Source organism: Homo sapiens, chromosome 3 (genome assembly GCF_000001405.40).
Source record: "Homo sapiens chromosome 3, GRCh38.p14 Primary Assembly".
In the NCBI taxonomy this organism is placed as follows: Eukaryota; Metazoa; Chordata; class Mammalia; order Primates; family Hominidae; genus Homo; species Homo sapiens.
In genome coordinates this window covers 49,343,656-49,368,300 of record NC_000003.12, presented here as the reverse complement: position 1 = coordinate 49,368,300, position 24,645 = coordinate 49,343,656, and the positions used below count along the sequence as shown (strand labels likewise).

The following is a 24,645-nucleotide window of genomic DNA, read 5'->3' as shown; positions in this document are numbered from 1 at the left end:
CCTGGAGTTTGGGATTGTAGAGCGTGGGCCTTGGGTCCCTTTCAGCCTAGGTCTCCCATGGGTACTGTATTTAAAATGTATCCACCTAGGCAGGGCACGGTGCCTGACACCTATAATCCCTGCGCTTTGGGAGGTCCAGACGGGTGGATCACCTGAGGGTCAGGAGTTCAAGACCAGCCTGGCCAACATGGTGAAACCCCGTCTTTACTAAAAGTACAAAAAAATTAGCCAGGCATGGTGGTGCACGCCTGTAGTCCCAGGTACTTGGGAGGCTGAGGCAGGAGAATCGTTTGAACCTGGTAGGTGGAGATTGCAGTGAGCCGAGATTATGGCACTGCATTCCAGACTGAGCAACAGAGCAAGACTCTATCTCAAAAATAATAATTATTATTATTATTACTAAATAATATTAAATGTTATTTAAAAATCTAACTGCCTTGTAAACTAGATGAATTCCAGATACAAAGATGAGTAAACTAAGGCTGGTGCGGCGGCTGACACCTGTAATCCTAGCACTTTGGGAGGCCGAGGCTGGCAGATCACCTGAGGTCAGGAGTTTGAGACCAGCCTAGGCAACATGGTGAACCCCTTGTCTCTACTAAAATACAAAAATTAGCTGGGTGTGGTGGCGTGCACTTGTAATCCCAGCTATTCCAGGGGCTGAGGCAGGAGAATCACTTGAGCCTGGGAAGCAGAAGTTGCAGTGAGCCAAGATCATGCCACTGTACTGCAGACTCCATCTCCCAAAAAAAAAGATGAGCAAACTAGATGAGTTCCAAATGTAAAGCCATCTCTTTTGGGGAAAGACTTTCTTTTTTTTGGTTGCCCTGTCTTAGCCTTTTTCTGAAGTGTCTTAGCTGATAGAAGCTTGAATGTGATCATTTCATTAGCCTAAACACAGCCACATAATTCAGAAGTCAGTAAGTCAGTATTCTTTTTTTTTTTTTTTTTTTTTTTTGAGAGGGAGTCTTGCTCTGTCTCCCAGGCTGGATTGCAGCAGCTTGATCTCAGCTCACTGCAAGCTCTGCCTCCTGGGTTGATGCCATTCTCCTGCCTCAGCCACCCAAGTAGCTGGGACTACAGGTGGCCACCACCACGCCCGGCTAATTTTTTGTATTTTTTAGTAGAGATGGGATTTCACCACGTTAGCCAGGATGATCTTGATCTCCTGACCTCGTGATCCGCCTGCCTCGGCCTCCCAAAGTGCTGGGATTACAGGCGTGAGCCACTGCGCCTGGCCCAGAAGTCAGTATTCTTTAGAAAAAGACTGAAGAATGCTAACCTGACATTCTGTGAAACCAGGCTTGAAAAAACTTGCTTTAGGTTTGTGCTGAAGATGATGAGGTATCTATTAATAAACTTGTGCTGCAGCCCTCCCTGTCATGACAGGGCAGCAGGTGGGTCAAGGATGTTGTCGTCATTACCACAAACAGCCTTTGAGGGTCTGCTTGTGGCCTCGGGTTGCCTGGATAGTTAGTGTTAGAGTGATTGTGTTGTTATGGTTGTCCCTACCTTAATGATGATAACTGGGGTTGCTCCAAGATATTGAGCCACTTGTTTAAGGTCATGCTGGCCCAAGGAGCTGAGCTAAGATTGAGTCCTCTGTGCAGTATGTCCCAGGACAGAGAAAGAGCACGTATTCCATGCCGTTGGTTCACTTAGATCATTTTCAGCAGTTATGATTGATTGATTGATTTAGAGGCGGGGTCTCGCTCTGTTGCCCAGGCTGGAGTTGAGTGGCACAATCTTGGCTCACTGCAACCTCCGCCTTCCAGGTTCAAGCAAATCTCCTGTCTCAGCCTCCCAAGTAGCTTGGACTACAGGCATACGCCCCCACGCCTGGGTGATTTTTGTATTTTTAGTAGAGACCGGGTTTCTCCGTGTTGGCCAGGCTTCTCTCAAACTTCTGACCTCTGGTGATCCACTCACCTTGGCCTCCCAAAGTGCTGGGATTACAGGTGTGAGCCACCACACCCAGCCTAGTTTTGGTTTTCAAACTAATATGACTTCCTTTTGTGAAGCTGCTGGAAGGCCCTGGAGGCTGGGCAGAGCTTTAGGCCACAGAGAAAATTTGAGCTAGTTGACACTCTCCTATCAGATACACACATAAATAACTTCACCTAGATCCTATTGGAATGAGAAGGACTGTGTGCCTTTGCCCTCGTTATCTAGTGTATAATTCTTGAGGGAAAAAACTGCCTCCAGAGCAAAACATTTTGTCTCTTCAGTCTCACTTTTTTCTTTTTGAGACAGGGTCTCGCTTTCTTGCCCAGTCTTGAGTGCAGTTGCAGATTCAGTTTACTGCTGCCTCGACCTCCTGGGCTCAAACAATCCTCCCATCTCAGTCCCCACCCAGTAGTTGGTACTACAGGCACACACTGCTGCGCTTGGTTAATTTTTATATTTTTTAGGCCGGGCATGGTGGCTCACGCCTGTAATCCCAGCACTTCGGGAGGCTGAGGTAGGCGGATCACCTGAGGTCAGGAGTTCGAGACCAGCCTGGCCAACATGGTGAAATCCTGTCGCTACTAAAAATACAAAACTTAGCCAAGTATGGTGGCATGTACCTGTAATCCCAGCTACTCAGGAGGCTGAGGCAGGAGAATTGCTTGAACCTGGGAGGCAGAGGTTGCAGTGAGCCGAGATCGCATCACTGCACTCCAGCCTAGGTGACAGAGTGAGACTCTTGTCTCAAAAAAAAAAAAAAAAAAAGTTTGAAAATTTATTCACCAAAAGTGGCGACAGTCAATTTATTCAAATTCTATGTACCTCAAACTCCAGGAAGGGGGTAGACTATTGGTATAATTTCACATATTCAGGAAATAACTACAGCACCTACTAACAGAACATCTATTCTAGGCCAGGCACTGTGGCTCACACCTGTAATCCCACCACTTTGGGAGGCCAAGGTGGGTGGATCCTGAGGTCAGGAGTTCAAGACCAGCCTGTCCAACATGGTGAATCCCTGTCTCTACTAAAAATACAAAAAAATCATCCGGGCGTGGTGGCGAGTGCCTGTAATCCCAGCTACTCGGGAGGCTGAGGCAGGAGAATTGCTTGAACCCGGGAGGCAGAGGTTGTAGTGAGCTGAGATTGCGCCACTGCGCTCCAGCCTGGGCGACAGAGCAAGAGTCCATCTAAAAAAAAAAAAAAAAAACTTCTGTTCTAGATGAGGGAAGACAGAATAGGCTCCCCTCAATGCCCCCAAAAAAGTAAATCAGAAAATAACAACAGTAAACCCAGTAACAGTAAATATTACAAATAACATTTGTAGAGGTGGGTCATGGTTGTATGCTGTTTTGTTTTATTTATTTTTATTTTTGTTTTTTTGAGACAGACTTTTGCTCTTGTCACGCAGGCTGGAGTGCAATGGTGCGATCTCAGCTCACTGCACTCCGCCTCCCGGGTTCAAGCACTTCTTCTGCCTCAGCCTCCCAAGTAGCTGGGATTACAGGCATGCACCACCATGCCTGACTAATTTTTGTATTATTAGTAGAGACAGGGTTTCAACATGTTGGCCAGACTGGTCTCAAACTCCTGATCCACCTGCCTCGGCCTCCCAAAGTGCTGAGATTACAGGCCTGATGAGCCACTGCACCTGGTCTATTTATTTTTATTTATTTATTTATTTATTTATTTTGAGACGGAGTCTCGCTCTGTCGCCCAGGCTGGAGGGCAGTGGCACGATCTTGGCTCACTGCAACCTCCACCTCCCTGGTTCAAGGAATTTCCCTGCCTCAGCCTCCCTAGTAGCTGGGATTACAGGTGTGCACCACCATGCCCAGTTAATTTTTTTGTTTTGTTTTGTTGTTTTTGAGACGGAGTTTCGCTCTTGTTGCCCAGGCTGGAGTGCAATGGCACGATCTCGGCTCACTGCAACTTCCGCCTCCCGGGTTCAAGCGATTCTCCAGCCTCAGCCTCTCAAGTAGCTGGGATTGCAGGCATGTGCCACCACGCCCAGCTAATTTTGTATTTTTAGTAGAGACGGGGTTTCTCCATGTTGGTTATGCTGGTCTCCCAACTCCCGACCTGAGGTGATCCACCCGCCCCGGCCTTCACAGTGCTGGGATTATAGGCATGAACCACTGCGCCTGGCAATCTTTTTGTATTTTTAATAGAGATGGGGTTTCACCATGTTGGCCAGACTGGTCTCGAACTCCTGACCTAACGCGATCCACCTGCCTCAGCCTCTCAAAGTTTTGGGATTATAGACGTGAGCCACTGCGCCCAGCCTATTTATTTGTTTTTAAGAGATGAAGTCTCACTTTGTCACCCTGGCTGGAGTGCAGTAGTAGCGTGATCATAGCTCACTGCTACCTTGAATCCTGGACTCCAGTGATCCTCCCACCTCAGCCTCTCAAGTAGGTGGGAATGCAGGCACATGTACCACTGTAAACTGCTAAGTTTTTGTATGTTTTTGTGGAGATGGGGTTTTTGACTTTTTTGATACAGAGTCTCACTCTGTTGCCCAGGCTGGAGTGAGTGTAGTATTGCGATCTCGACTCATCACAACCTCCACCTCCTGGGTTCAAGTGTTTCTTCTGCCTCAGCCTCCCAAGTAGCTGGGACTATAGGTGCACACCACTGCGCCCGGCTAATTTTAGTAATTTTAGTAGAGATGAGGTTTCGCCATGTTGGCCAGGCTGGTCTCGAACTCCTGACCTCTGGTGATCCACCCACCTAAGCCTCCCAAAGTGCTGGGATTACAGGCACGAGCCACCACGCTGTCTGGAGATGGGGTTTAGCCATGTTGCATAGGCTGTTCTTGAGCTCCTAGGCCCAAGCTGTCTACTTGCCTTAGCCTCTCAAAAGTGCTGGAATTACAAGTATGAGTCACCACGCCCAGCCTCTTTTGGTTATTTTCAAAAGTCACTTTTTTTTATTTGAGACGGAGTCTTGCTCTGTCGCCCAGGAGTGCAGTGGCGCGATCTCAGCTCATGGCAAGCTCTGCCTCCCGGGTTCACACCATTCTCCTGCCTCAGCCTCCTGAATAGCTGGGACTACAGGTGCCCACCACTACACCCGGCTAATTTTTTTTGTATTTTTAGTAGAGACGGGGTTTCACTGTGTTAGCCAGGATGGTCTCGATCTCCTGACCTCATGATCCGCCCACCTTGGCCTCCCAAAGTGCTGGGATTACAGGCATGAGCCACCGCTCCCGGCCAAAAGTCACTCTTCAGCCATTTGAAATACCAGTAAACCCCATAGGGTAGAAGTTATGCTGAGAGTTGATGAACAAGTTAGAAAAAGAACATGTGGACCCTGGGTCAGCTGCTGCCCTAGAATGGGGACCCCTTCTGTAAGCTATGTCAGAATCATCTACCAGCAGTGACAGATGTCCTGTAAAGTGCCTGCCTTTGTGGGGCAGGAAGTGCCCCCCGTGAAACTACCTTGTGTTGTGGATCTTTTGCTCCTCCAGAGCCCTTACTCGGGCCCCACCTACAGAGATGCTCAGCACCACTCTTGGCTGGACTGAGAAAAAGCTGTTGGTTCTCTGTTTAAAGGAAAGGGATTATATTTCCTTTTTATGGTTTTGAAACTAGTGAGTTTCATTAAATGTCTAGCATTTTTCTGAAGCCACAAAGAAAGTGTCTCTGCAATTTCACTGAGGTTCTTGGAAAGTCTTCAAGATAGAATTGTATGTATCCCCAAATTCTCTACATTTTTCTTTCAGAAAACATCCCAGAAAAGTGGACCCCAGAAGTCAAGCATTTCTGTCCCAACGTGCCCATCATCCTGGTTGGGAATAAGAAGGATCTTCGGAATGATGAGCACACAAGGCGGGAGCTAGCCAAGATGAAGCAGGCATGATCTGGGGCAGGACTGTCTTGTAGTATTCTTGAACTAGGGCCCCAAGTTTGGAGGTTTGGGGAGCCCAGCAGGAACCTTCACAGGCCAGGTTGTTTTAGAGGCTCAGAAGCCCCTCTGTGGCCCTCTGACCCTCATTAATTGGGATCTTCACAGAAGATCCCTAAGATAGTTCACCAGTCCTGTGAGATGGAATGTTTTTTTATGAGGTAGTGCTATGCCCATAAGGACTGCTGGCCTGAGAATGAACCATTTCATTAGTAGCTAGTAATCAGTGGCTCTAGATGTAGGAACTTTCTTTTTTTTGATATGGAGTCTCATTCTGTCACCCAGGCTGGAGTGCAGTGGCGCAATCTCAGCTCACTGCAACCTCCGCCTCCGGGGTTCAAGCGATTCTTCTGCCTCAGACTCCCGAGTAGCTGGGACTACAGGCACCCTCCACCATGACCGGCTAATTTTTTTTTTTTTTAATAGATGGGGTTTCACCCTGTTGGCCAGGCTGGTCTTGAACTCCTTACCTCAAGTGATCTGCCCACTTTTGCCTCCCAAAGTGCAGGGATTACAGGTGTGAGCCACTGTGCCTGGCCTCTGTTAGACTCTTTATTTTTATTTTTTGAGACACAGTTTTGCTTTTGTCACCCAGGCTGGAATGCAGTGATGCTATCTCGGCTGCAACCTCAGCCTCCAAGGTTTAAGTGATTCTCCTGCCTCAGCCTCCCAAGTTGCTGGGATTACAGGCATGTGCCACCACGCCTGGCTAATTTTTGTATTTTTAGTAGAGACGGGTTTTCTCCATGTTGGTCAGGCTGGTCTCAAACTCCTGACCTTAGGTGATCTGCCCGCCTTGGCCTCCCAAAGTGCTGGGATTACAGGTGTGAGCCACCACGCCCGGGCCTGTTAGACTCTTGATTGCCTTCCCCAGCTATTACTTTGGTACATGTGAGGCCAAAGATAAATTAGTGGCAACTGAAAGATAAGGAAATCTTGAAGGCTGGGAGTCCAGATAGAAAGCCCTAATGCCTTCCCTCTCCTCCACTCCCAATGCCTTTTTAAAAGTGATGATGGATGTGGCATCTTGGCCTCTCAGAAACCAGCTGGCCTAATGGCAGGGCTTCCTCACTGGAGGAGAAGCATTGAGATCTTCAACCTAAGTTCTCTTACTCAGGTTTCTCTGTCTGAATGTCAAGGGTAGGCTTTATTTCCTTCAGGGCATTTAGTCCTGGATTGGTAGCTTGAGTAATTTTGCTCTTGATTGACTCCTTAACCTTCCAGGGCTCCTCTGACCTCTTCCCTCTACTTCCCAGTGAATACCATGTTTATTAGAGATTTTATGTTTGGTAGGGGGTAGTTACCATATGTCAGTTTAAAAATTTCATAAGTTTAGCAGTTTGTTGTTTTTTTTTTTTGTTTTGTTTTTTTTGAGAAGGAGCCTCACTGTGTCGCCAGGCTGGAGTGCTGTGGCACGATCTTGGCTCAACTGCAACCTCCGCCTCCCAGATTTAAGCGATTCCCCTGCCTCAGCCTCCTGAGTAGCTGGGGTTACAGGCGCCCACTACCACACCCAGGTGATTTTTTGTATTTTAGTAAAGAGGGGTTTCACCATGTTGGCCAGGATGGTCTTGATCTCCTAAACTCGTGATCCGCCCAGCTCAGCCTCCCAAAGTGCTGGGATTACAGGTGTGAGCCACCACACCCAGCCAAGTTTAACAGCTTTTGAAAGTCTTTTTTTTTTTTAGGCTGGGTACAGTGGCTCATGCCTGTATCCCAGCACTTTGGGAGGCCGAGGTGGGCAGATCACTTGGTCAGGAGTTCGAGACCAGCCTGGCCAAAATGGTGAAACCCCATCTCTACTAAAAAATTACTTGGGCGTGGTGGTGGGCACCTGTAGTCCCAGCTACTCGGGAGGCTGAGGCGGGAGAATCCCTTGAACCCAGGAGGTGGAGGTTGCAGTCAGCTGAGATCATGCCATTGCCCTCCAGCCTGGGCGACCGACGAGCAAAACTGTCTCAAAAAAAGAAAAAAAAATCTTTTAGATGAATTTGAATACTTTTTACTTACTATATGTATGCCACACTATTAGCTAAAAGGACTATTTTTTTTTCTTTGCTAGGAGCCGGTGAAACCTGAAGAAGGCAGAGATATGGCAAACAGGATTGGCGCTTTTGGGTACATGGAGTGTTCAGCAAAGACCAAAGATGGAGTGAGAGAGGTTTTTGAAATGGCTACGAGAGCTGCTCTGCAAGCTAGACGTGGGAAGAAAAAATCTGGGTGCCTTGTCTTGTGAAACCTTGCTGCAAGCACAGCCCTTATGCGGTTAATTTTGAAGTGCTGTTTATTAATCTTAGTGTATGATTACTGGCCTTTTTCATTTATCTATAATTTACCTAAGATTACAAATCAGAAGTCATCTTGCTACCAGTATTTAGAAGCCAACTATGATTATTAACGATGTCCAACCCGTCTGGCCCACCAGGGTCCTTTTGACACTGCTCTAACAGCCCTCCTCTGCACTCCCACCTGACACACCAGGCGCTAATTCAAGGAATTTCTTAACTTCTTGCTTCTTTCTAGAAAGAGAAACAGTTGGTAACTTTTGTGAATTAGGCTGTAACTACTTTATAACTAACATGTCCTGCCTATTATCTGTCAGCTGCAAGGTACTCTGGTGAGTCACCACTTCAGGGCTTTACTCCGTAACAGATTTTGTTGGCATAGCTCTGGGGTGGGCAGTTTTTTGAAAATGGGCTCAACCAGAAAAGCCCAAGTTCATGCAGCTGTGGCAGAGTTACAGTTCTGTGGTTTCATGTTAGTTACCTTATAGTTACTGTGTAATTAGTGCCACTTAATGTATGTTACCAAAAATAAATATATCTACCCCAGACTAGATGTAGTATTTTTTGTATAATTGGATTTCCTAATACTGTCATCCTCAAAGAAAGTGTATTGGTTTTTTAAAAAAGAAAGTGTATTTGGAAATAAAGTCAGATGGAAAATTCATTTTTTAAATTCCCGTTTTGTCACTTTTTCTGATAAAAGATGGCCATATTACCCCTTTTCGGCCCCATGTATCTCAGTACCCCATGGAGCTGGGCTAAGTAAATAGGAATTGGTTTCACGCCTGAGGCAATTAGACACTTTGGAAGATGGCATAACCTGTCTCACCTGGACTTAAGCATCTGGCTCTAATTCACAGTGCTCTTTTCTCCTCACTGTATCCAGGTTCCCTCCCAGAGGAGCCACCAGTTCTCATGGGTGGCACTCAGTCTCTCTTCTCTCCAGCTGACTAAACTTTTTTTCTGTACCAGTTAATTTTTCCAACTACTAATAGAATAAAGGCAGTTTTCTAAACTTCCTGTATCCTGTTGTTTGTGTTGCTCTCTCCAGGGCTGGGGGTAGGAGGATGCAAGGACTTCCTGGCCTAGCTCACCCTGGAGAGGTTTGTTGAGTGCAAAGGACTAGCTTGTGCCCCACCTCCCACCCACCCAGCAGCTAATCTGGTCCCTCCCAACAACATGGAAATGATTACCCTGTACCGCATTCTGGTTCAGATTTGGGGGTAGGGTGAATGCAGCCTGAGGAGGCCAGGGAGGGAGGACTCCGGCAGCGTTTCCTTGGCCTCGGCGAGCTACTGGGCTCCACTTAAGGAGGCTGGGGCAGAGCTTCCAGGACTCTGCCCGGTTAGAAAACCCGCACGAGGGCGGTGCCGCTTTGGAGACAGGGAGGAGGGAGACCGGAAGCCTAGATCCCTCTGGCTGTCCCCTGCACTGCCGGTAACATGGCACAGGAGAGGAGGGCTGTTTGTGCACGGGCAGCTCCTGCAGCTGCTGCCGTCGCCCACCAGCCTCCTATGCCAAACCCCACATCCTAACTCAGGAACCTCTGAGAAAAAACGGAGCCCTCGAGGGCCCCAGCCCTTGGAAGGGTAACCTGGACCGCTGCCGCCTGGTTGCCTGGGCCAGACCAGACATGCCTGCTGCTCCTTCCGGCTTAGGAGGAGCACGCGTCCCGCTCGGGCGCACTCTCCAGCCTTTTCCTGGCTGAGGAGGGGCCGAGCCCTCCGGGTAGGGCGGGGGCCGGATGAGGCGGGACCCTCAGGCCCGGAAAACTGCCTGTGCCACGTGACCCGCCGCCGGCCAGTTAAAAGGAGGCGCCTGCTGGCCTCCCCTTACAGTGCTTGTTCGGGGCGCTCCGCTGGCTTCTTGGACAATTGCGCCATGTGTGCTGCTCGGCTAGCGGCGGCGGCGGCGGCGGCCCAGTCGGTGTATGCCTTCTCGGCGCGCCCGCTGGCCGGCGGGGAGCCTGTGAGCCTGGGCTCCCTGCGGGGCAAGGTACTACTTATCGAGAATGTGGCGTCCCTCTGAGGCACCACGGTCCGGGACTACACCCAGATGAACGAGCTGCAGCGGCGCCTCGGACCCCGGGGCCTGGTGGTGCTCGGCTTCCCGTGCAACCAGTTTGGGCATCAGGTGCGCCGGGCGGAGCGGGGCGGGGCGGGGGCGGACGTGCAGTAGTGGCTGGGGGCGCCGGCGGTGTGCTGGTGGGTGCCGTCGGCTCCATGCGCGGAGAGTCTGGCTACTCTCTCGTTTCCTTTCTGTTGCTCGTAGCTGCTGAAATTCCTCTCCGCCCTTGGGATTGCGCATGGAGGGCAAAATCCCGGTGACTCATAGAAAATCTCCCTTGTTTGTGGTTAGAACGTTTCTCTCCTCCTCTTGACCCCGGGTTCTAGCTGCCCTTCTCTCCTGTAGGAGAACGCCAAGAACGAAGAGATTCTGAATTCCCTCAAGTACGTCCGGCCTGGTGGTGGGTTCGAGCCCAACTTCATGCTCTTCGAGAAGTGCGAGGTGAACGGTGCGGGGGCGCACCCTCTCTTCGCCTTCCTGCGGGAGGCCCTGCCAGCTCCCAGCGACGACGCCACCGCGCTTATGACCGACCCCAAGCTCATCACCTGGTCTCCGGTGTGTCGCAACGATGTTGCCTGGAACTTTGAGAAGTTCCTGGTGGGCCCTGACGGTGTGCCCCTACGCAGGTACAGCCGCCGCTTCCAGACCATTGACATCGAGCCTGACATCGAAGCCCTGCTGTCTCAAGGGCCCAGCTGTGCCTAGGGCGCCCCTCCTACCCCGGCTGCTTGGCAGTTGCAGTGCTGCTGTCTCGGGGGGGTTTTCATCTATGAGGGTGTTTCCTCTAAACCTACGAGGGAGGAACACCTGATCTTACAGAAAATACCACCTCGAGATGGGTGCTGGTCCTGTTGATCCCAGTCTCTGCCAGACCAAGGCGAGTTTCCCCACTAATAAAGTGCCGGGTGTCAGCAGAACTGTGTGTATGTCCTGTGTCATTGTCATTTGGGAATTCTTTTTCTTTTCTTTTTTTTTTTTTTTTTTTGAGACGGAGTTTTTTGCTCTATTGCCCAGGCTGGAGTGCAGTGGCGCAATCTAGGCTCACTGCAAGCTCCGCCTCCCGGGTTCACGCCATTCTCCTGCCTCAACCTCCTGAGTAGCTGGGACTACAGGTGCCTGCCACCACGCCCGGCTAATTTTTTGTATTTTTAGTAGAGACAGGGTTTCACCGTGTTAGCCAGGATGGTATCGATCTCCTGACCTCGTGATCCACCCGCCTCGGCCTCCCAAAGTGCTGGGATTACAGGTATGAGCCACCGCACCCGGCCTGGCGATACTTTTTCTAACCTCATTGTCATAGTGGTGGGAACTTAATCCTCCTTCCCTTATCCTAGCCAAGTCTGAACTTTCTGTCCTTTTGTCTGCAGCGTGTAGGATCCACTCTTTCCTTTGTGGGAAGTCTGGCTCCTGGCCTGCATTTCTGCCTTCACCAGAACATGCAAAGGGCCATCTCAAGACCCAGTTACAACAAAGTCCTTACTTCAAAAAAGACACAAGGCAATGGTTGACTGCCTAACTCAAATGATAGACTTCTGACTACTTGCTGCACGCTGAAATGACTGTCACAAAATAACATGAGCCCCCACTCACATTTGGAGTCATGGCCTCTCCAATTGTTAGGTCCACACAATCCCATTTTACACGGAAGCTCATGCAATGTTATAAATTCTGTTATCTGGCTAGATCTTTCCATGTTGCTACCAAGTGCCTGTATCTGCTGTGACGATGATCTTACAAGTTTCTGCCTCATATATTCAAGAGTGAGAAAACTATAATTTAACTGGCCCTTCTGACTATGCCCTGCCCAACACTTAACGTGCAATTAATTGCACATTCAGGCCCAGGATAAGGGCTTGTCTTTGAAGCCAGCTGCTGCTTCTCGGGCACCACTCAGGTCCAGCCTCTCCATCTGTTGACCCTGCTGCCAATAATCTTTAATTTTTTTTTTTTTTTTTTTTTTTTTGAGACAGTCTTGCTCTGTTGCGCAGGCTGGAGTGCAGTGGTGTAATCTCGGCTCACTGCAAGCTCCGCCTCCCGGGTTCACGCCATTCTGCCTCAGCCTCCCGAGTAGCTGGGACTACAGGCGCCCGCCACCACGCCCGGCTAATTTTTTTCTGTTTTTTAGTAGACGGGGTTTCACCGTGTTAGCCAGGATGGTCTCGATCTCCTGACCTCGTGATCCACCCGCCTTGGCCTCCCAAAGTGCTGGGATTACAGGCTTGAGCAGCAATAATCTTTCAAGACAGATTTGGAGCCATTTCCTAACGCAGTGCAGGGGACTGCAGGGCCTGGGTGTAGCTTCCGCTTGTGCAAACAGGTACCCAGAGACATGGTAGTGCTGTTCACCCGCTGACTGTGGACCAGAGGTTCTGGAGTCCCAGCATTTGTGTTCAAATTCGTGACTCAAGGTCCTTCTTAGTCTGAACCAACTCTCAAGGACTTTTCCTCTTGCCCTAAGCAGTGATCTTTGCTGCTGCTTTCCCCCTTTGTCTGCCCTTAGGTCACTAAGGATTGTAGGGCCTTCTGGACCTGCTCTGGCTCCATCCTGAGAACTCCTGAACAGGCCCACCTCCCTCTGGTTCTCTCTGCCCCAGCCTTTGAGTCCCCCTTGGGGTGACCCAGGTAGAACTATCAGCTTCCCCTTTGGACCTCACTCTACTTGTGTTGTTCCTTGGAACTCTCAGGAGTCTCACTCTTGCCCAGGCTGGGGTGCAGTGGCATGATCTCAGCTCACTGCAGCCTCCACCTCCCAAGTTTAAGCGATTCTCCTGCCTCAGCCTCCCCAGTGGCTGGGATTACAGGTGCCTACCACCATGCCTGGCTACTTTTTAATATTTTTAGTAGAGATGGGATTTCGCCATGTTGGCCAGGCTGGTCTCAAACTCCTGACCTCAGGTGATCTGCCTGCCTAGGCCTCCCAAAGTGCTGGGATTACAGGCGTGAGCCACTGCGCCCTGCCAGAATGGAATGTTATTATATTAATAGATCAATATTTGTGATGAATATCATATGCCGGGCCCTGTGGGCCCTGAGATGGCTAGCCCCTGTACCCCTCCTAGACTGTTAACTTCTGGGGAAGAAGATTAGTCATTCATAAATGCAATCAAGGCTCCTGAGTGGCCATTCATGGACGCTCACGCCTATAATCCCAGCATTTTATAATCCCAAGTAATCCGAGGAGGGCAGATCACTTGAGGCAAGGAGTTGGAGACCAGCCTGACCGACATGGTGAAACCCCCGTCTCTACTAAAAATACAAAAATTAGCCAGGTGTGGTGTCGGGCGCCTGTAATCCCAACTACTCTGGAGGCTGAGGCAGGGAGAATTGCCTGAACCTGGGAGGCGGAGGTTGCAGTGAGCCGAGATTGCGCTATTACACTTTAGCCTGGGCAACAGAGCGAGACACTTTCTCAAAAAAAAAAAAAAAAAAAAAAAAAAAATCCACTCAAATGGTACCAAGGCTTTTTGACATTTGTAGACTTCAAATCTGACTCCTGGAATGGAGAATAGCAACCTGTAAATCTGGGTGGACCCAGATTGCCTGTGACCCCTAATGTCCTACATGTCTCTTCCCCAAAAGCACTTTGCTCCCTCATTCATTCATAATCCAGTCCTGTGCCGTGTGCTCTGCCAGGTGCCTGAAGAAGTCAGAAGGACAGTATATAATTATCAAAAAAGCATGTTTTGTGCTTTGAGAATAGGAAAAAAAGACAAGAAAAAAATTGTGCACCTTACACTAGTTAAAAAAAAAGAATAGGCCGGGTGCGGTGGCTCACGCCTGTAATCCCAGCACTTTGGGAGGCCGAGGCGGGCGGATCACGAGGTCAGGAGATCGAGACCATCCTGGCTAACAAGGTGAAACCCCGTCTCTACTAAAAAAATACAAAAAATTAGCCGGGCGTGGTGGCGGGCACCTGTAGTCCCAGCTACTCGGGAGGCTGAGGCAGGAGAATGGCGTGAACCCGGGAAGCGGAGCTTGCAGTGAGCCGAGATTGCGCCACTGCAGTCCGCAGTCCGACCTGGGCGACAGAGCGAGACTCCGTCTCAAAAAAAAAAAAAAAAAAAAAGAATAAAGAAGAGGACCAGGCCCAGTAGGGAGGCTCATGCATGCCTCCTGGAAAAAGTGACAGTGAGGCTGGGTGCGGTGGCTCACACCTGTGATCCCAGTACTTTGGGAGGCCAAGGTGGGCAGATGGCTTGATGGCTTGAGGTCAGGAGTTTGAGATGAGCCTGCCCAACACGGCGAAACCACGTCTCTATTAAAAATATGATAATTAGCTGGGCGTGGTGGCGGGCACCTGTAATCCCAGCTACTCAAGAGTCTGAAGCAGGAGAATCACTTGAACCCAGGAGGTGGAGGTTGCAGTGAGCCGAGATGGTATCACTGCACTCCAGCCTGGGCAACAGAGCAAGACTCCATCTCAAAAAGAAAAAGTGGCTGGGCGCGGTGGCTCACACCTGTAATCCCAGCACTTTGGGAGGCCAAGGTGGGCGGATGACAAGGTCAGGAGATCGAGACCATCCTGGCTAACACGGTGAAACCCTATCTCCACTAAAAATACAAAAAATTAGCTGGGCGTGGTGGCGAGCACCTGTAGTCCCAGCTACTCGGGAGGCTGAGGCAGGAGAATGGCGTGAACCTGGGGGGCGGAGCTTGCAGTGAGCCGAGATTGCACCACTGCACTCTAGCCTGGGTGACAGAGCGAGACTCCCTCTCAGAGAAAAAAAAAAAATTGAGACTGAAAAGAAGTCAAGAAGCAGTTGGTTAAAGAATAAGCTGATGGCGGGTGAGCAGGCAGGGAGTATAGTGTGTGAGATCCTGAGATGGGAAGGTGGCATTCTTGACTAAGTCAGCAACAGGAGGAGCAGGTTTTGGGGGTAGGTGGATGTGTTCAGATTCAGCTATACTGCATTAGACATCCAGACAGAGGTATCTGGGGCAGGCAGTTACAAGAGGCGCAGAAGAAGAGAATGTTGAAAGGCAATGGTCTAGCCACGGGAGCAGTAGCCACTGGAGAGGATGAGGTCACGTGGGGAAAGTGGCAAGAAAAAGATTAGGGGACCTGGGCCTGAGGCCTATAGATTCACAATCCTTCCAGATGAGATGGCAGAGAGAAATAGCTGGGGAGGAACAAGGTTGGAGCAAGGAGCCAAGGGAAGGGACAGTTCCTAAAGAATAGTTAGCTGGAACCCATGCTTCTGGACTGCCTGCAGTCTCGGGGCAGCTGGAACCAAAGCTAGAAAGCCATGTGTCTAGGAGGTACCAGGTCCTATTCTAGGAGATGAATATACAGTGCCCAGGAGTCACCCAGGTACTTGTGAAAATATATGTTCCACAACCCACCTCCAGAGACACCAAAGTGGAAAGTCTAGGGACCTAGGGTCCTACTCAGTGTTCTACCAGCTGGACCTGTGAGAAGAGACATCCCACTTCAACTCTCCCCTTTCCTGTACAGGGTCAATGTGGCCTAGGCCACACTCTCTGGTTAGGCTACAGGATAGGAACCCAGAACTTTCCAATAAACTCCAACTTCTCTCCAGGATGCCTGGTGATTGACCCCTCCTTGCCCCATGCCACCCCCACCATCTCAGTTTATGCCTTGGACTACGAGTGAAGGGAACTTTTTTTGGTTTCCCCTGAAATTACTCAGCTTCAGTAAAGGGAACTTCTGAACTCCCAGTATGCCTGATCCTGGCTGGAGAACATTTCTCCTCAGACTTTAAGCTGTATGCCTCCTCTCTCAACTAGAAGTCATTTCTTTCTTTTTTTTTTTTTGACAGGGAGTCTCGCTCTATTGCCCAGGCTGGAATGCAGTGGTGCAATTTCAGCTCACTCCAACCTGTCTCCCGGGTTCAAGCAATTCTCCTGCCTCAGCCTCCTGAGTACCCGAGACTAATTTTTTTGTATTTTTAGTAGAGGCAGGGTTTCACCATGTTGGCCAGGCTGGTCTTGGACTCCTGACTTCAAATGATCCACCCACCTGGGCCTCCCAAAGTGCTGGGATTACAGGCGTGAGCCACCATGCCCGGCCAGTCCTTTCTAACTCTCTCTTCTCCAGGAAGTTTCAGAGTAAAGCCAGTTAAGACTTCACTGTCTTCCCCCAACACACACAGACACACTCTCACACATACACATTCTTTTCATTCAACCATGCAACTGCTGCTGCTCTGACTGGTACCCACCCCACCCCATTGTGAATCAGCAGCTCAAATAAACAAGTAAAAGAGTAGAAATCACATTCAGCCTATGTGAAGTCCTGGCTTTAAAAGCAGAAATGGCTGCAGAGCATTGCTTGCACAGAAAACACATACAGCATTTAGGCCACTGACCTAGGTTCAGAAACTTCCATTTCAGCAGTTCTTACAGAAGGGCTGCTTTTGGGGTTTTTTTTCAAACATTAAATCTGATAAAATTAGGTCAGGCATTTCTTGCACAATTAGCAGTTGATCAAATGACTTCCTTATTCTGACTCAACGTAGTCCTAAAAACAACATTTAAAACAAGTTTATTTTCAGGCTCAGTGCAGTGGCTCACACCTATAATCCAAGCACTTTGGGAGGCTAAGGTGGGCAGATTGTTTGAGCTCAGGAGTTTGAGAACAGCCTGGGCAACATGGCGAAACACTGTTTCTACAAAAAAATACTGGCCAGGCAAGGTGGCTCATGCTTGTAATCCCAGCACTTTGGGAGGAAAAGGCGGGTGGATCATGAGGTCAGGAGTCCAGCCAATATGGTGAAACCCCGTCTCTACTAAAAATACGAAAATAAGCTGGGCATGGTGGTGTGCACCTATAGTCCCAGCTGCTCCAGAGGCTGAGGCAGGAGAATCGCTTAAACCTGGGAGGTGGAGGTTGCAGTGAGCTGAGATTGGGCCACTGCACTCCAGCCTGGGTAACAGAGCAAGACTCTGTCTCAAAAAAAAAAAAAAAAAAAAAAAGAGCCAAGCTTTGTGGCACATGACTGTGGTACCAGCCAGCTACTTGGGCAGCTGAGGTCAGAACATTGCTTAAGCCCAGGAGATCGAGGCTGCAGTGAGCTGATTGCGCCACTGTACTCCAGCCTGGAAGACAGAGTGAGACCCTGTCTCAAAATAAATAAAACAAGTTTATTTTCAGAAAAGCATTCCTGGCCTGATAAGTCTAATAAATCTCTTACATTTTAACTTTTGGATAAGATAGAGTAAAAAGTACTGGCTAAAGATCTCCCCAAGGGGCCAGGCATGGTTGCATGTACCTGTAGTCCCATCTACTCAGGAGGCTGAGGTGGGGGGAATCACTTGAGCCCAGAGGGTCAAGGCTGCAGTGAACTGAGATTGTGCCACTTCACTCCAGCCTGTGCGACTCCAGCCTGGGCTGTCTCAAAATAAACAAACAAAAAACCCCCCAAAAAACCAACCTGGCCAACATGGTGAAACCTTGTCTCTACCAAAAAATACAAAAATTAGACGAGTGTGAGGCGGGCGGATCATTTGAGGTCAGGAGTTTGAGATCAGCCTGGCCAACATGGTCAAACCCTATCTCTACTAAGAATACAAAAATTAGCTGGGCATAGTGGTGCCCTCCTGTAATCCCAGCTACTTGGGAGGCTGAGGTAGGAGAATTGCTTGAACCTGGGAGATCGAGGTTGCAGAAGCCAAGATTGTGCCACTGCACTCCAGTCTAGGTGACAGAGTGAGACTCCATCTCAAAAACAGAAACAAAATTAGTCGCACATGGTGGCGTGTGCCTGTAGTCCCAGCTACTTGGGAGGCTGAGGTGGGTGACTCGCTTGAACCCAGGAGGCGGAGGTTGCAGTGAGCTGAGATTGTGCCACTGCCCTCCAGCCTGGGCAACAGAGACAGACCCTGTCTCAAAAAAAAAAAAAAATTTTTTTCCCAAGAAAACACAGCATGGGTTTATAAAGAGCAGGCCATGATCCCTATCAGAGTACTCTGAATTGACATGTTTTTGTTACTGCACTCACGAAGTAAGCGGGAAGAGTATGCATTCACATACAGGTGTGACACACCTGGGCGGGCACTGAAATAAAGCCCAGCTCCAGCCAGCCACAGAGATTAATGGGTATCTGCCTCACATCAGACACTGACTGATTGGGAGCTGAGGGGGACAAATGTCAGAAGTCCTTGTCCAAGAAATGAGGTCTCATAGGCCTTGGCCCTGAAATGGTGTAATTCTCACTGCCTCTCAGAGAGGCTGTGTACAGAGACATTGCTTATCTCTACTCAACAGCCATTCCCAAGTCCTTCCTCCTGGCTGGCTGGCAGAATCTACTTTCCTGCTGTAAAGATAGGGGCAGGTGACCTAATCTTGGCTATGAAGAGATGCAGAGGCTCCTGGGAAAGCCCCCATGATCCCAGGAAACAGGATCTTGTTTCCTCTCTCCCTTCTCACTGGTGGGTGTTGTTGAGGGTACCCAAAATTCTGGGAGCAAGGCAGCCACGTTGGAGCTTTGAAGGCAAAGAACTAGAAGGCCCCAGATAAACAAACTGATGTCTTTCAGCTTTGACCTTCCCAAGAACTCAACTCCAGACGTGTCATGTGAAAAAACAAGAACCACCAAATAGGTGGGCCAATTGCTGCTGGGGATTCTGTTAGTTGCATCTAGAAGCATTGAGACTGACATGACATGACAGTGGTGTACTGGGCAGGGGTGCTAGGCAACTTGTTGGCCCTAACTGGCTGGCAGAATATTTTCCTAGCCAGCCTTACCTGTTGTAAATGTAAGGGCAGGTGACCTGATCTTGGCTGTGAAGAGACGCAGAGGCTCCTGGGAGACCCACTTTTAGTGCCCCTCACAGGTCCAGTGTAATTGTGGCCCTCAAGACCAGTAGAGGAGACCACAAAGCAAGCCCACTTGATCCAAATTCCTAGAGCTCTAGCAGCATTCAGGAACACATGTAGCTTACCCTCAGTGGTGTCCTACAGTTCTGAAGACCACCTGGCTTCATAGGGAAGCAAGTGAAGGGAATCTAAATCTCCCTGCAGCAGAATACCCCAGTCACCTTTGTCCCCAGCACATGACTGTGTGTGTGTGCATGTACATGTGAGTGAATCTAAAGTCCAGGTCTCATGCCAGGTACAGTGGCTCACGCCTATAATCCCAGCACTTTGGGAGGCCGAGGCAGGTGGATCACCTGAGGTAAGAAGTTCAAGACCAGTCTGGCCAACATCCAACATGGCAAAACCACATATCTTTTTCTTTTCTTTTTCTTTTTTTTTTTTGGAGTTTTGCTCTTGTTGCACAGGCTGGAGTGCAGTGGTGTGATCTCGTCTCACTGCAACCTCCACCTCCCAGGTTCAAGTGATTCTCCTGACTCAGGCTCCTGAGTAGCTGGGATTACAGGCGTCTGCCACCATGCCTGGCTAATTTTTTGTGTTTTTAGTAGAGATGGAATTTCACTATGTTGGCCAGGCTGGTCTTGAACTCCTGACTTCAGGTGATCCACCCGCCTCATCCTCCCAAAGTTATAGGGTTACAGGCGTGAGCCACCACGCCTGGCCTGGCGAAACCACATCTCTACAAAAAATACAAAAAAAAATTAGCTGTGTGTGGTGGCGCACGCCTGTAGTCCCCAGCTACTGGGGAGGCCGAGGCATGAGAATTGCTTGAACCCAGGAAGTGGAGGTTGCAGCGAGCCGAGATTGTGCCACTGCACTACAACCTGCGTGACAAAGTGAGACTCTGTCAAACACACACAAAAAAAAGTAATAAAAAAAATAGGCCGGGCATGGTGGCTCACGCCTGTAATCCCAGCACTTTGAGAGGCTGAGGCCGGCAGATCACCAGGTCAGGAGATCGAGACCATCTTGGCTAACATGGTGAAACCCCATCTCTACTAAACAAAATACAAAAAATGAGCCGGGCGTGGTGGCGGGAGCCTGTAGTCCCAGCTCCTCGGGAGGCTGAGGCAGGAGAATGGCAGGAGCCTGCGAGGCGGAGCTTGCAGTGAGCAGAGATGGCGCCACTGCACTCCAGCCTGGGCAACAGAGCGAGACTCTGTCTCAAAAAAAATAAATAAATAAAAAAATAAAGTCGGCTGTGTGGGGTGGCTCACGCCTGTAATCCCAGCACTTTGGGAGGCCGAGGCGGGCAGATCATGAGGTCAGGAGTTCAAGGCCAACCTGGCTAACACAGTGAAACCCTATCTCTACTAAAAATACAAAAAAAAAAAAAAAATTAGCTGGGCGTGGTGTCAGGTGCCTGTAGTCCCAGCTACTCAGGAGGCTGAGGCAGGAGAATGGCATGAACCCGGGAGGCGGAGCTTACAGTGAGCCAAGATTGCGCCACTGTGCTCCAGCCTGGGTGACAGAGTGAGACTCTGTCTTAAAAAAATAAATAAAAATAAAAAATAAAGTCCTGGTCTCCTGAGCATCCTTTGTGGATGTCATCATATACCCCCAAAGGCCAAAAGGAATATTAAGTATGCCTTTGCTTTCTACACTAGTTGCTTAAGTTTCCTTCCCAGGGAAGTATCTGCAAGCATGACCCTTCATGTTCTTGTGACACTTTTTTTTTTTTGAGGCAGAGTTTTGCTCTGTTGCCCAGGCTGGAGTGCAGTGGCTCGATCTCGGCTCACTGCAAGCTCTGCCTCCCGGGTTCACACCATTCTCCTGCCTCAGCCTCCCAAGTAGCTGGGACTACAGGTGTCCACCACCACACCGGGCTAATTTTTTTGTATTTTTAGTAGAGATAGGGTTTCACGGTGTTAGCCAGGACGGTCTTGATCTCCTAACCTCGTGATCTGCCCACCTCAGCCTCCCAAAGTGCTGGGATTCCAGGCGTGAGCCACTGCACCCGGCCCCTGTGACACTTTTACCACACAACATACAATACTGTATTACATATGTAACCATCCTTCATCCCTAACCACACTGTGAACCCTGGAGGGTAGGGACCATGAGCACATAATACTCAAGTACTATTAGTCCAGTGAAGAAATGACTAATAGCCGGATCATTCTTTCTTTCATTTATGCAAGAAATGCCTACTGAGAATTCGCACTGTGGAAAGGGCAAAGGATACACGCAAATTAACGTTAAATACTGGTTCATGGTTAAGACTGTGATGGTAATAGAATTACAGGAGGAAGACAAGACACTGGCGGCACCTGGGCCCAGGCTGCCACACCCTCTGCCCGAAGAGGGCTGGCCATCAACACAAGTGGCATAACCAGAATGGAATCTGTCCATTGGCACAACTCCTCCATATAAAAAAAGTGATCCCACTTCCTCTCTGTGAGACTTGTTCAGTTTTTTGCCTCTATTATCTTCTGCAAGAACCTAATCCTTATATAACAGAGGTTAGAAATCACTGAGAAGACATTTAATTCTTCTAAAGTGTGCTTCTAGAATCTTTTTCTTTTCACAGTCCCCTGGGCAGGTTAAGGAGGCACAGGTGAGAAGGAACCAAAAATATTTCTCCCCTGTTGCCACCTCCAATTAAAATATGTCTAATATTTGTGAATACTGCCACGTGTGCTCTGTTAGTGCTGGCCAAGTGTGGACCAAGAATAACTTGGGAGAGCCAAGTCCTATCAGGTGTAAAGAAAACTGTGGTAGCAGCTAAGACAAAAACCTTATGATTTGGAATAAAATAAAGCTTAAAGGCCAGGCGTGGTAGTTCAAGCCTGTAATCCAAGCACTTTGGGAGGCCGAGGCGGGTGGATCACCTGAGGTCAGGAGTTCAGGAACAGCCTGGCCAACATGGTGAAACCCCGTTTCTACTAAAAATACAAAAATCACCTGGGCGTGGTGGCCGGTGCCTGTAATCCCAGCTACTAGGGAGGCTGAGGCAGGAGAATCCCTTGAACCCAGGAGGCGGAGGTGGCAGTGAGCGGAGATTGCGCCACTGCATTCCAGGCTGGGTGACAGACTAAGACCTTGTTTCAAAAAAAAAAAAAAAAAAAAAGCATAAAGTTCACACACCCAGACATTATTAATCTTTTTTTTTGAGACGGAGTTTCGCTCTTGTTGCCCAGGCTGGAGTGCAGTGGTGCAATCTTGGCTCACTGCAACCTCCGCCTCCTGGGTTCAAACTATTCTCTTGCCTCAGCCTCCCAAGTAGGTGGGGCTACAGGAATGCACTACCATGCCCAGATAATTCTGTATTTTCAATAGAGATGGGGTTTCACCATGTTGGTCAAGCTGGTCTCAAACTCCTGACCTCAGGTGAACCACCTGCCTCGGCCTCCCAAAGTACTGGGATTACAGGTGTGAGCCACCGTGCCCGGCCTGACATTATGAATCTTTTTTTTTTTTTTTTTTTTTGAGATAGGGTCTCGCTCTGTCACCCAGGCTGGAGTGCAGTGGCGCAATCTTGGCTCAGTGCCAGCTCCGCCTCCCGGGTTCATGCCATTCTCCTGCCTCAGCCTCCTGAGTAGCTGGGACTACAGGCACCCACCACCACGCCCGGCTAATTTTTTGTATTTTTAGTAGAGACGGGGTTTCACTGTGTTAGCCAGGATGATCTCGATCTCCTGACCTCGTGATCCGCCCTTCTCGGCCTTCCAAAGTGCTGGGATTACAAGCGTAAGCCACCGCGCCCGGCCAACATTATGAATCTTTAATTAGACATCACAGTCCAAGATCAACTAGTATGTGACCAATAAGCCAGGTTTTCTTCTAGCTCCCTTCCTGGTTTCTCTTCTGTTCTTGTGGCCCAAGGTCCTCTGGTAATGGATGGATTGTCCACTTCTGGGATCTTGGTGTCCTACCGGGCCTATGGTTCTCTCTAGGATAAAGTGGCTCAACATAGAACACAGCTCTGGTGCCAAGATGTCTCTGAGCTGAATCAGTCACCCTTGTCATTTCCTCCCAAGTCCCTAGGTCACTACCACAACAGGAACACGCAGGCAGATGTTCATTGTTTCCAGTTCTCTTTTTTGTTTTATTTTTGAGACAGGATCTTGCTCTGTCACCCAGGCTGGAGTGCAGTGGCACGATCATAGGATCACAGCTCTCTGCAACTTCAAACTCCTGGGCTAAAAAGATCCTCCCACCTTGGCCTACTTAATAGCTGGGATTACAGGTGCACGTCACCATGCCAGGCTAATTGTTTTATTTTAAATTTTTAAATTTTTTTTTCCTTTTTTTGAGATGAAGTTTCACTCTTGTTGCCCAGACTAGAGTGCAGTGGCGTGATCTTGGCTCACGGCAACCTCCGCCTCCTGGGTTCAAGTGATTCTCCTGCCTCAGCCTCCCAAGTAGCTGGGATTACAGGCGAGCACCACCATGCCCAGCTAATTTCTATGTTTTTAGTAGAGACTGGGTTTCACTAGGTTGGCCAGGCTGGTCTCAAATTCCTGACCTCAAGTGACCTGCCCACCTCAGCCTACCAAAGTGCTGGGATTGCAGGAGTGAGCCGTGCCTGGCCCTGGTTTTTTTGCCTCCTAAGTAGTTGTGACTACAGAATGAGATTCTGTCTCAAAAAACAAAACAAAACAAAAAACGGCTCAGCGTGGTGGCTCACACGTGTAATCTCAACACTTTGGGAGGCAGAGGTGGACAGAGTGCTTGAGCCCTGGGGAACAGGGCAGAAGTTGCAGTGAGCCAAGATTGTGCCACTGCACTGCAGCGGGGATGACAGAATGAGACCCTGTCTCAAAAACAAAACAAAACAAAAAACCCCACCATTTATTTATTTATTTATTTATTTATTTATTTATTTATTGAGACGGAGTTTTGCTCTTGTTGCCCAGGCTGGCATGCAATGGCACGATCCTGGCTCACCACAACCTCTGCCTCCCAGGTTCCAGCGATTTTCCTGCCTCAGCCTTCTGAGTAGCTGGGATTACAGGCCCATGCCACCACGCCCAGATAATTTTTGTATTTTTAGTAGAGATGGGGTTTCGCCATGTTGGTCAGGCTGGTCTCGAACTCCTGACCTCCTGATCCGACTGCCTTGGCCTCCTAAAGTGCTGGGATTACAGGCATGAGCCACTGCGCCCGGCCACCCCCACCATTTAAATCAAACAAACTGGCTAACAAAGTTTAAAGACTTTGTAAATAATGGTGACCTTGTAGTCCGGGCACGGTGGCGCATGACTGCAATCCCAGCACTTGGGAGGCGGAGGATCACTTGAGGCCAGGAGTTCAAGACCAGCCTGGGCAACATGGTGAAACTCCATCTATACTAAAAATATGAAAATTAGCTAGGTATGGTGATGCAGACCAGTAGTCTGGTTAGCTAGGCATGGTGATGCAGACCAGTAGTCCCAGCTATTTGGGAGGCTGAGGTAGGAGGATCACTTGAGCCCAATAGGTCGAGGCTGCAAGTGAGCCATGATTATACCACTGCACTTTAGCCTGGGCAACAAAGACTCTGTCTCAAAAAAAAAAAAAAAAAAAAAAAAGGTGATCTTCCAACTATGGAATTCACTTTATTCTTCACATTTCAACTACCAGCATTTTGTAATCTTTTATTTATTTATTTTTCTTTTT

General features: G+C 49.2%; 2 protein-coding genes across 12 annotated transcripts in view, besides 11 other annotated features; both read left to right on the top strand.

The window, feature by feature from the left end:
• Window positions 1–9,156, top strand: part of RHOA (ras homolog family member A) — a 52,832-nt gene extending 43,676 nt beyond the window's left edge. For 5 of the 7 annotated variants that reach the window (NM_001313945.2, NM_001313944.2, NM_001313947.2 and 2 more), the window contains 2 exons: window positions 5,675–5,805; window positions 7,919–9,156. In NM_001313945.2, coding sequence (NP_001300874.1) covers window positions 5,675–5,805; window positions 7,919–8,092 — 305 coding nt within the window. In that variant the 3' untranslated portion in view covers window positions 8,093–9,156. Of the gene's footprint in view, window positions 1–5,674; window positions 5,806–7,234; window positions 7,374–7,918 lie in introns of all 7 variants that reach the window. The other 2 variants (NM_001313943.2, NM_001313946.2) reach the window with 2 other exon arrangements.
• Window positions 9,055–9,663: an enhancer, noted in NCBI's record as "H3K27ac hESC enhancer chr3:49396071-49396679 (GRCh37/hg19 assembly coordinates)". NCBI's record gives its function as "activates a minimal SCP1, AML or CMV promoter by ChIP-STARR-seq in naive and primed H9 embryonic stem cells {active_cell/tissue: H9 hESC(naive and primed)}" and the evidence as "EXISTENCE:reporter gene assay evidence [ECO:0000049][PMID:30033119]".
• Window positions 9,055–10,272: a biological region, named in NCBI's record as "H3K27ac hESC enhancers GRCh37_chr3:49395462-49396070 and GRCh37_chr3:49396071-49396679".
• Window positions 9,426–9,755: an enhancer, noted in NCBI's record as "active region_19866". NCBI's record gives its function as "activates an Ori minimal core promoter by ATAC-STARR-seq in GM12878 lymphoblastoid cells {active_cell/tissue: GM12878}" and the evidence as "EXISTENCE:reporter gene assay evidence [ECO:0000049][PMID:35858748]".
• Window positions 9,664–10,272: an enhancer, noted in NCBI's record as "H3K27ac hESC enhancer chr3:49395462-49396070 (GRCh37/hg19 assembly coordinates)". NCBI's record gives its function as "activates a minimal SCP1, AML or CMV promoter by ChIP-STARR-seq in naive and primed H9 embryonic stem cells {active_cell/tissue: H9 hESC(naive and primed)}" and the evidence as "EXISTENCE:reporter gene assay evidence [ECO:0000049][PMID:30033119]".
• Window positions 9,916–9,975: a silencer, noted in NCBI's record as "silent region_14362". NCBI's record gives its function as "represses an Ori minimal core promoter by ATAC-STARR-seq in GM12878 lymphoblastoid cells {active_cell/tissue: GM12878}" and the evidence as "EXISTENCE:reporter gene assay evidence [ECO:0000049][PMID:35858748]".
• GPX1 (glutathione peroxidase 1) lies at window positions 9,948–11,125 on the top strand. Of its 5 annotated transcripts, none has more exons than NM_001329455.2 (2): window positions 9,948–10,136; window positions 10,554–11,125. In NM_001329455.2, the coding sequence occupies exons 1-2, from the start codon at window positions 10,023–10,025 to the stop codon at window positions 10,911–10,913; spliced, it is 474 nt and encodes a 157-aa protein (NP_001316384.1). In that variant the 5' UTR covers window positions 9,948–10,022; the 3' UTR covers window positions 10,914–11,125. The 5 variants fall into 5 exon arrangements, with proteins under 5 accessions (NP_001316384.1, NP_000572.2, NP_001316432.1 ...); NM_000581.4 differs by having other exon boundaries at window positions 9,948–10,274; NM_001329503.2 differs by having other exon boundaries at window positions 9,948–10,274; window positions 10,535–11,125.
• Window positions 15,762–15,841: an enhancer, noted in NCBI's record as "active region_19865". NCBI's record gives its function as "activates an Ori minimal core promoter by ATAC-STARR-seq in GM12878 lymphoblastoid cells {active_cell/tissue: GM12878}" and the evidence as "EXISTENCE:reporter gene assay evidence [ECO:0000049][PMID:35858748]".
• Window positions 18,355–18,499: an enhancer, noted in NCBI's record as "145 bp enhancer 295 fragment used in the MPRA reporter construct; PK_construct_4569". NCBI's record gives its function as "activates an SV40 promoter by MPRA in K562 cells {active_cell/tissue: K562}" and the evidence as "EXISTENCE:reporter gene assay evidence [ECO:0000049][PMID:23512712]".
• Window positions 18,418–18,435: a transcriptional cis regulatory region, noted in NCBI's record as "GATA motif; enhancer activity is reduced when this motif is scrambled". NCBI's record gives its function as "necessary for full MPRA enhancer 295 activity {active_cell/tissue: K562}" and the evidence as "EXISTENCE:site-directed mutagenesis evidence [ECO:0005528][PMID:23512712]".
• Window positions 19,091–19,385: a silencer, noted in NCBI's record as "tiled region #2568; K562 Repressive non-DNase unmatched - State 6:EnhF". NCBI's record gives its function as "represses a minimal TATA promoter and a strong SV40 promoter by Sharpr-MPRA in K562 cells {active_cell/tissue: K562}" and the evidence as "EXISTENCE:reporter gene assay evidence [ECO:0000049][PMID:27701403]".
• Window positions 22,587–22,676: an enhancer, noted in NCBI's record as "active region_19864". NCBI's record gives its function as "activates an Ori minimal core promoter by ATAC-STARR-seq in GM12878 lymphoblastoid cells {active_cell/tissue: GM12878}" and the evidence as "EXISTENCE:reporter gene assay evidence [ECO:0000049][PMID:35858748]".
• Window positions 22,767–22,886: an enhancer, noted in NCBI's record as "active region_19863". NCBI's record gives its function as "activates an Ori minimal core promoter by ATAC-STARR-seq in GM12878 lymphoblastoid cells {active_cell/tissue: GM12878}" and the evidence as "EXISTENCE:reporter gene assay evidence [ECO:0000049][PMID:35858748]".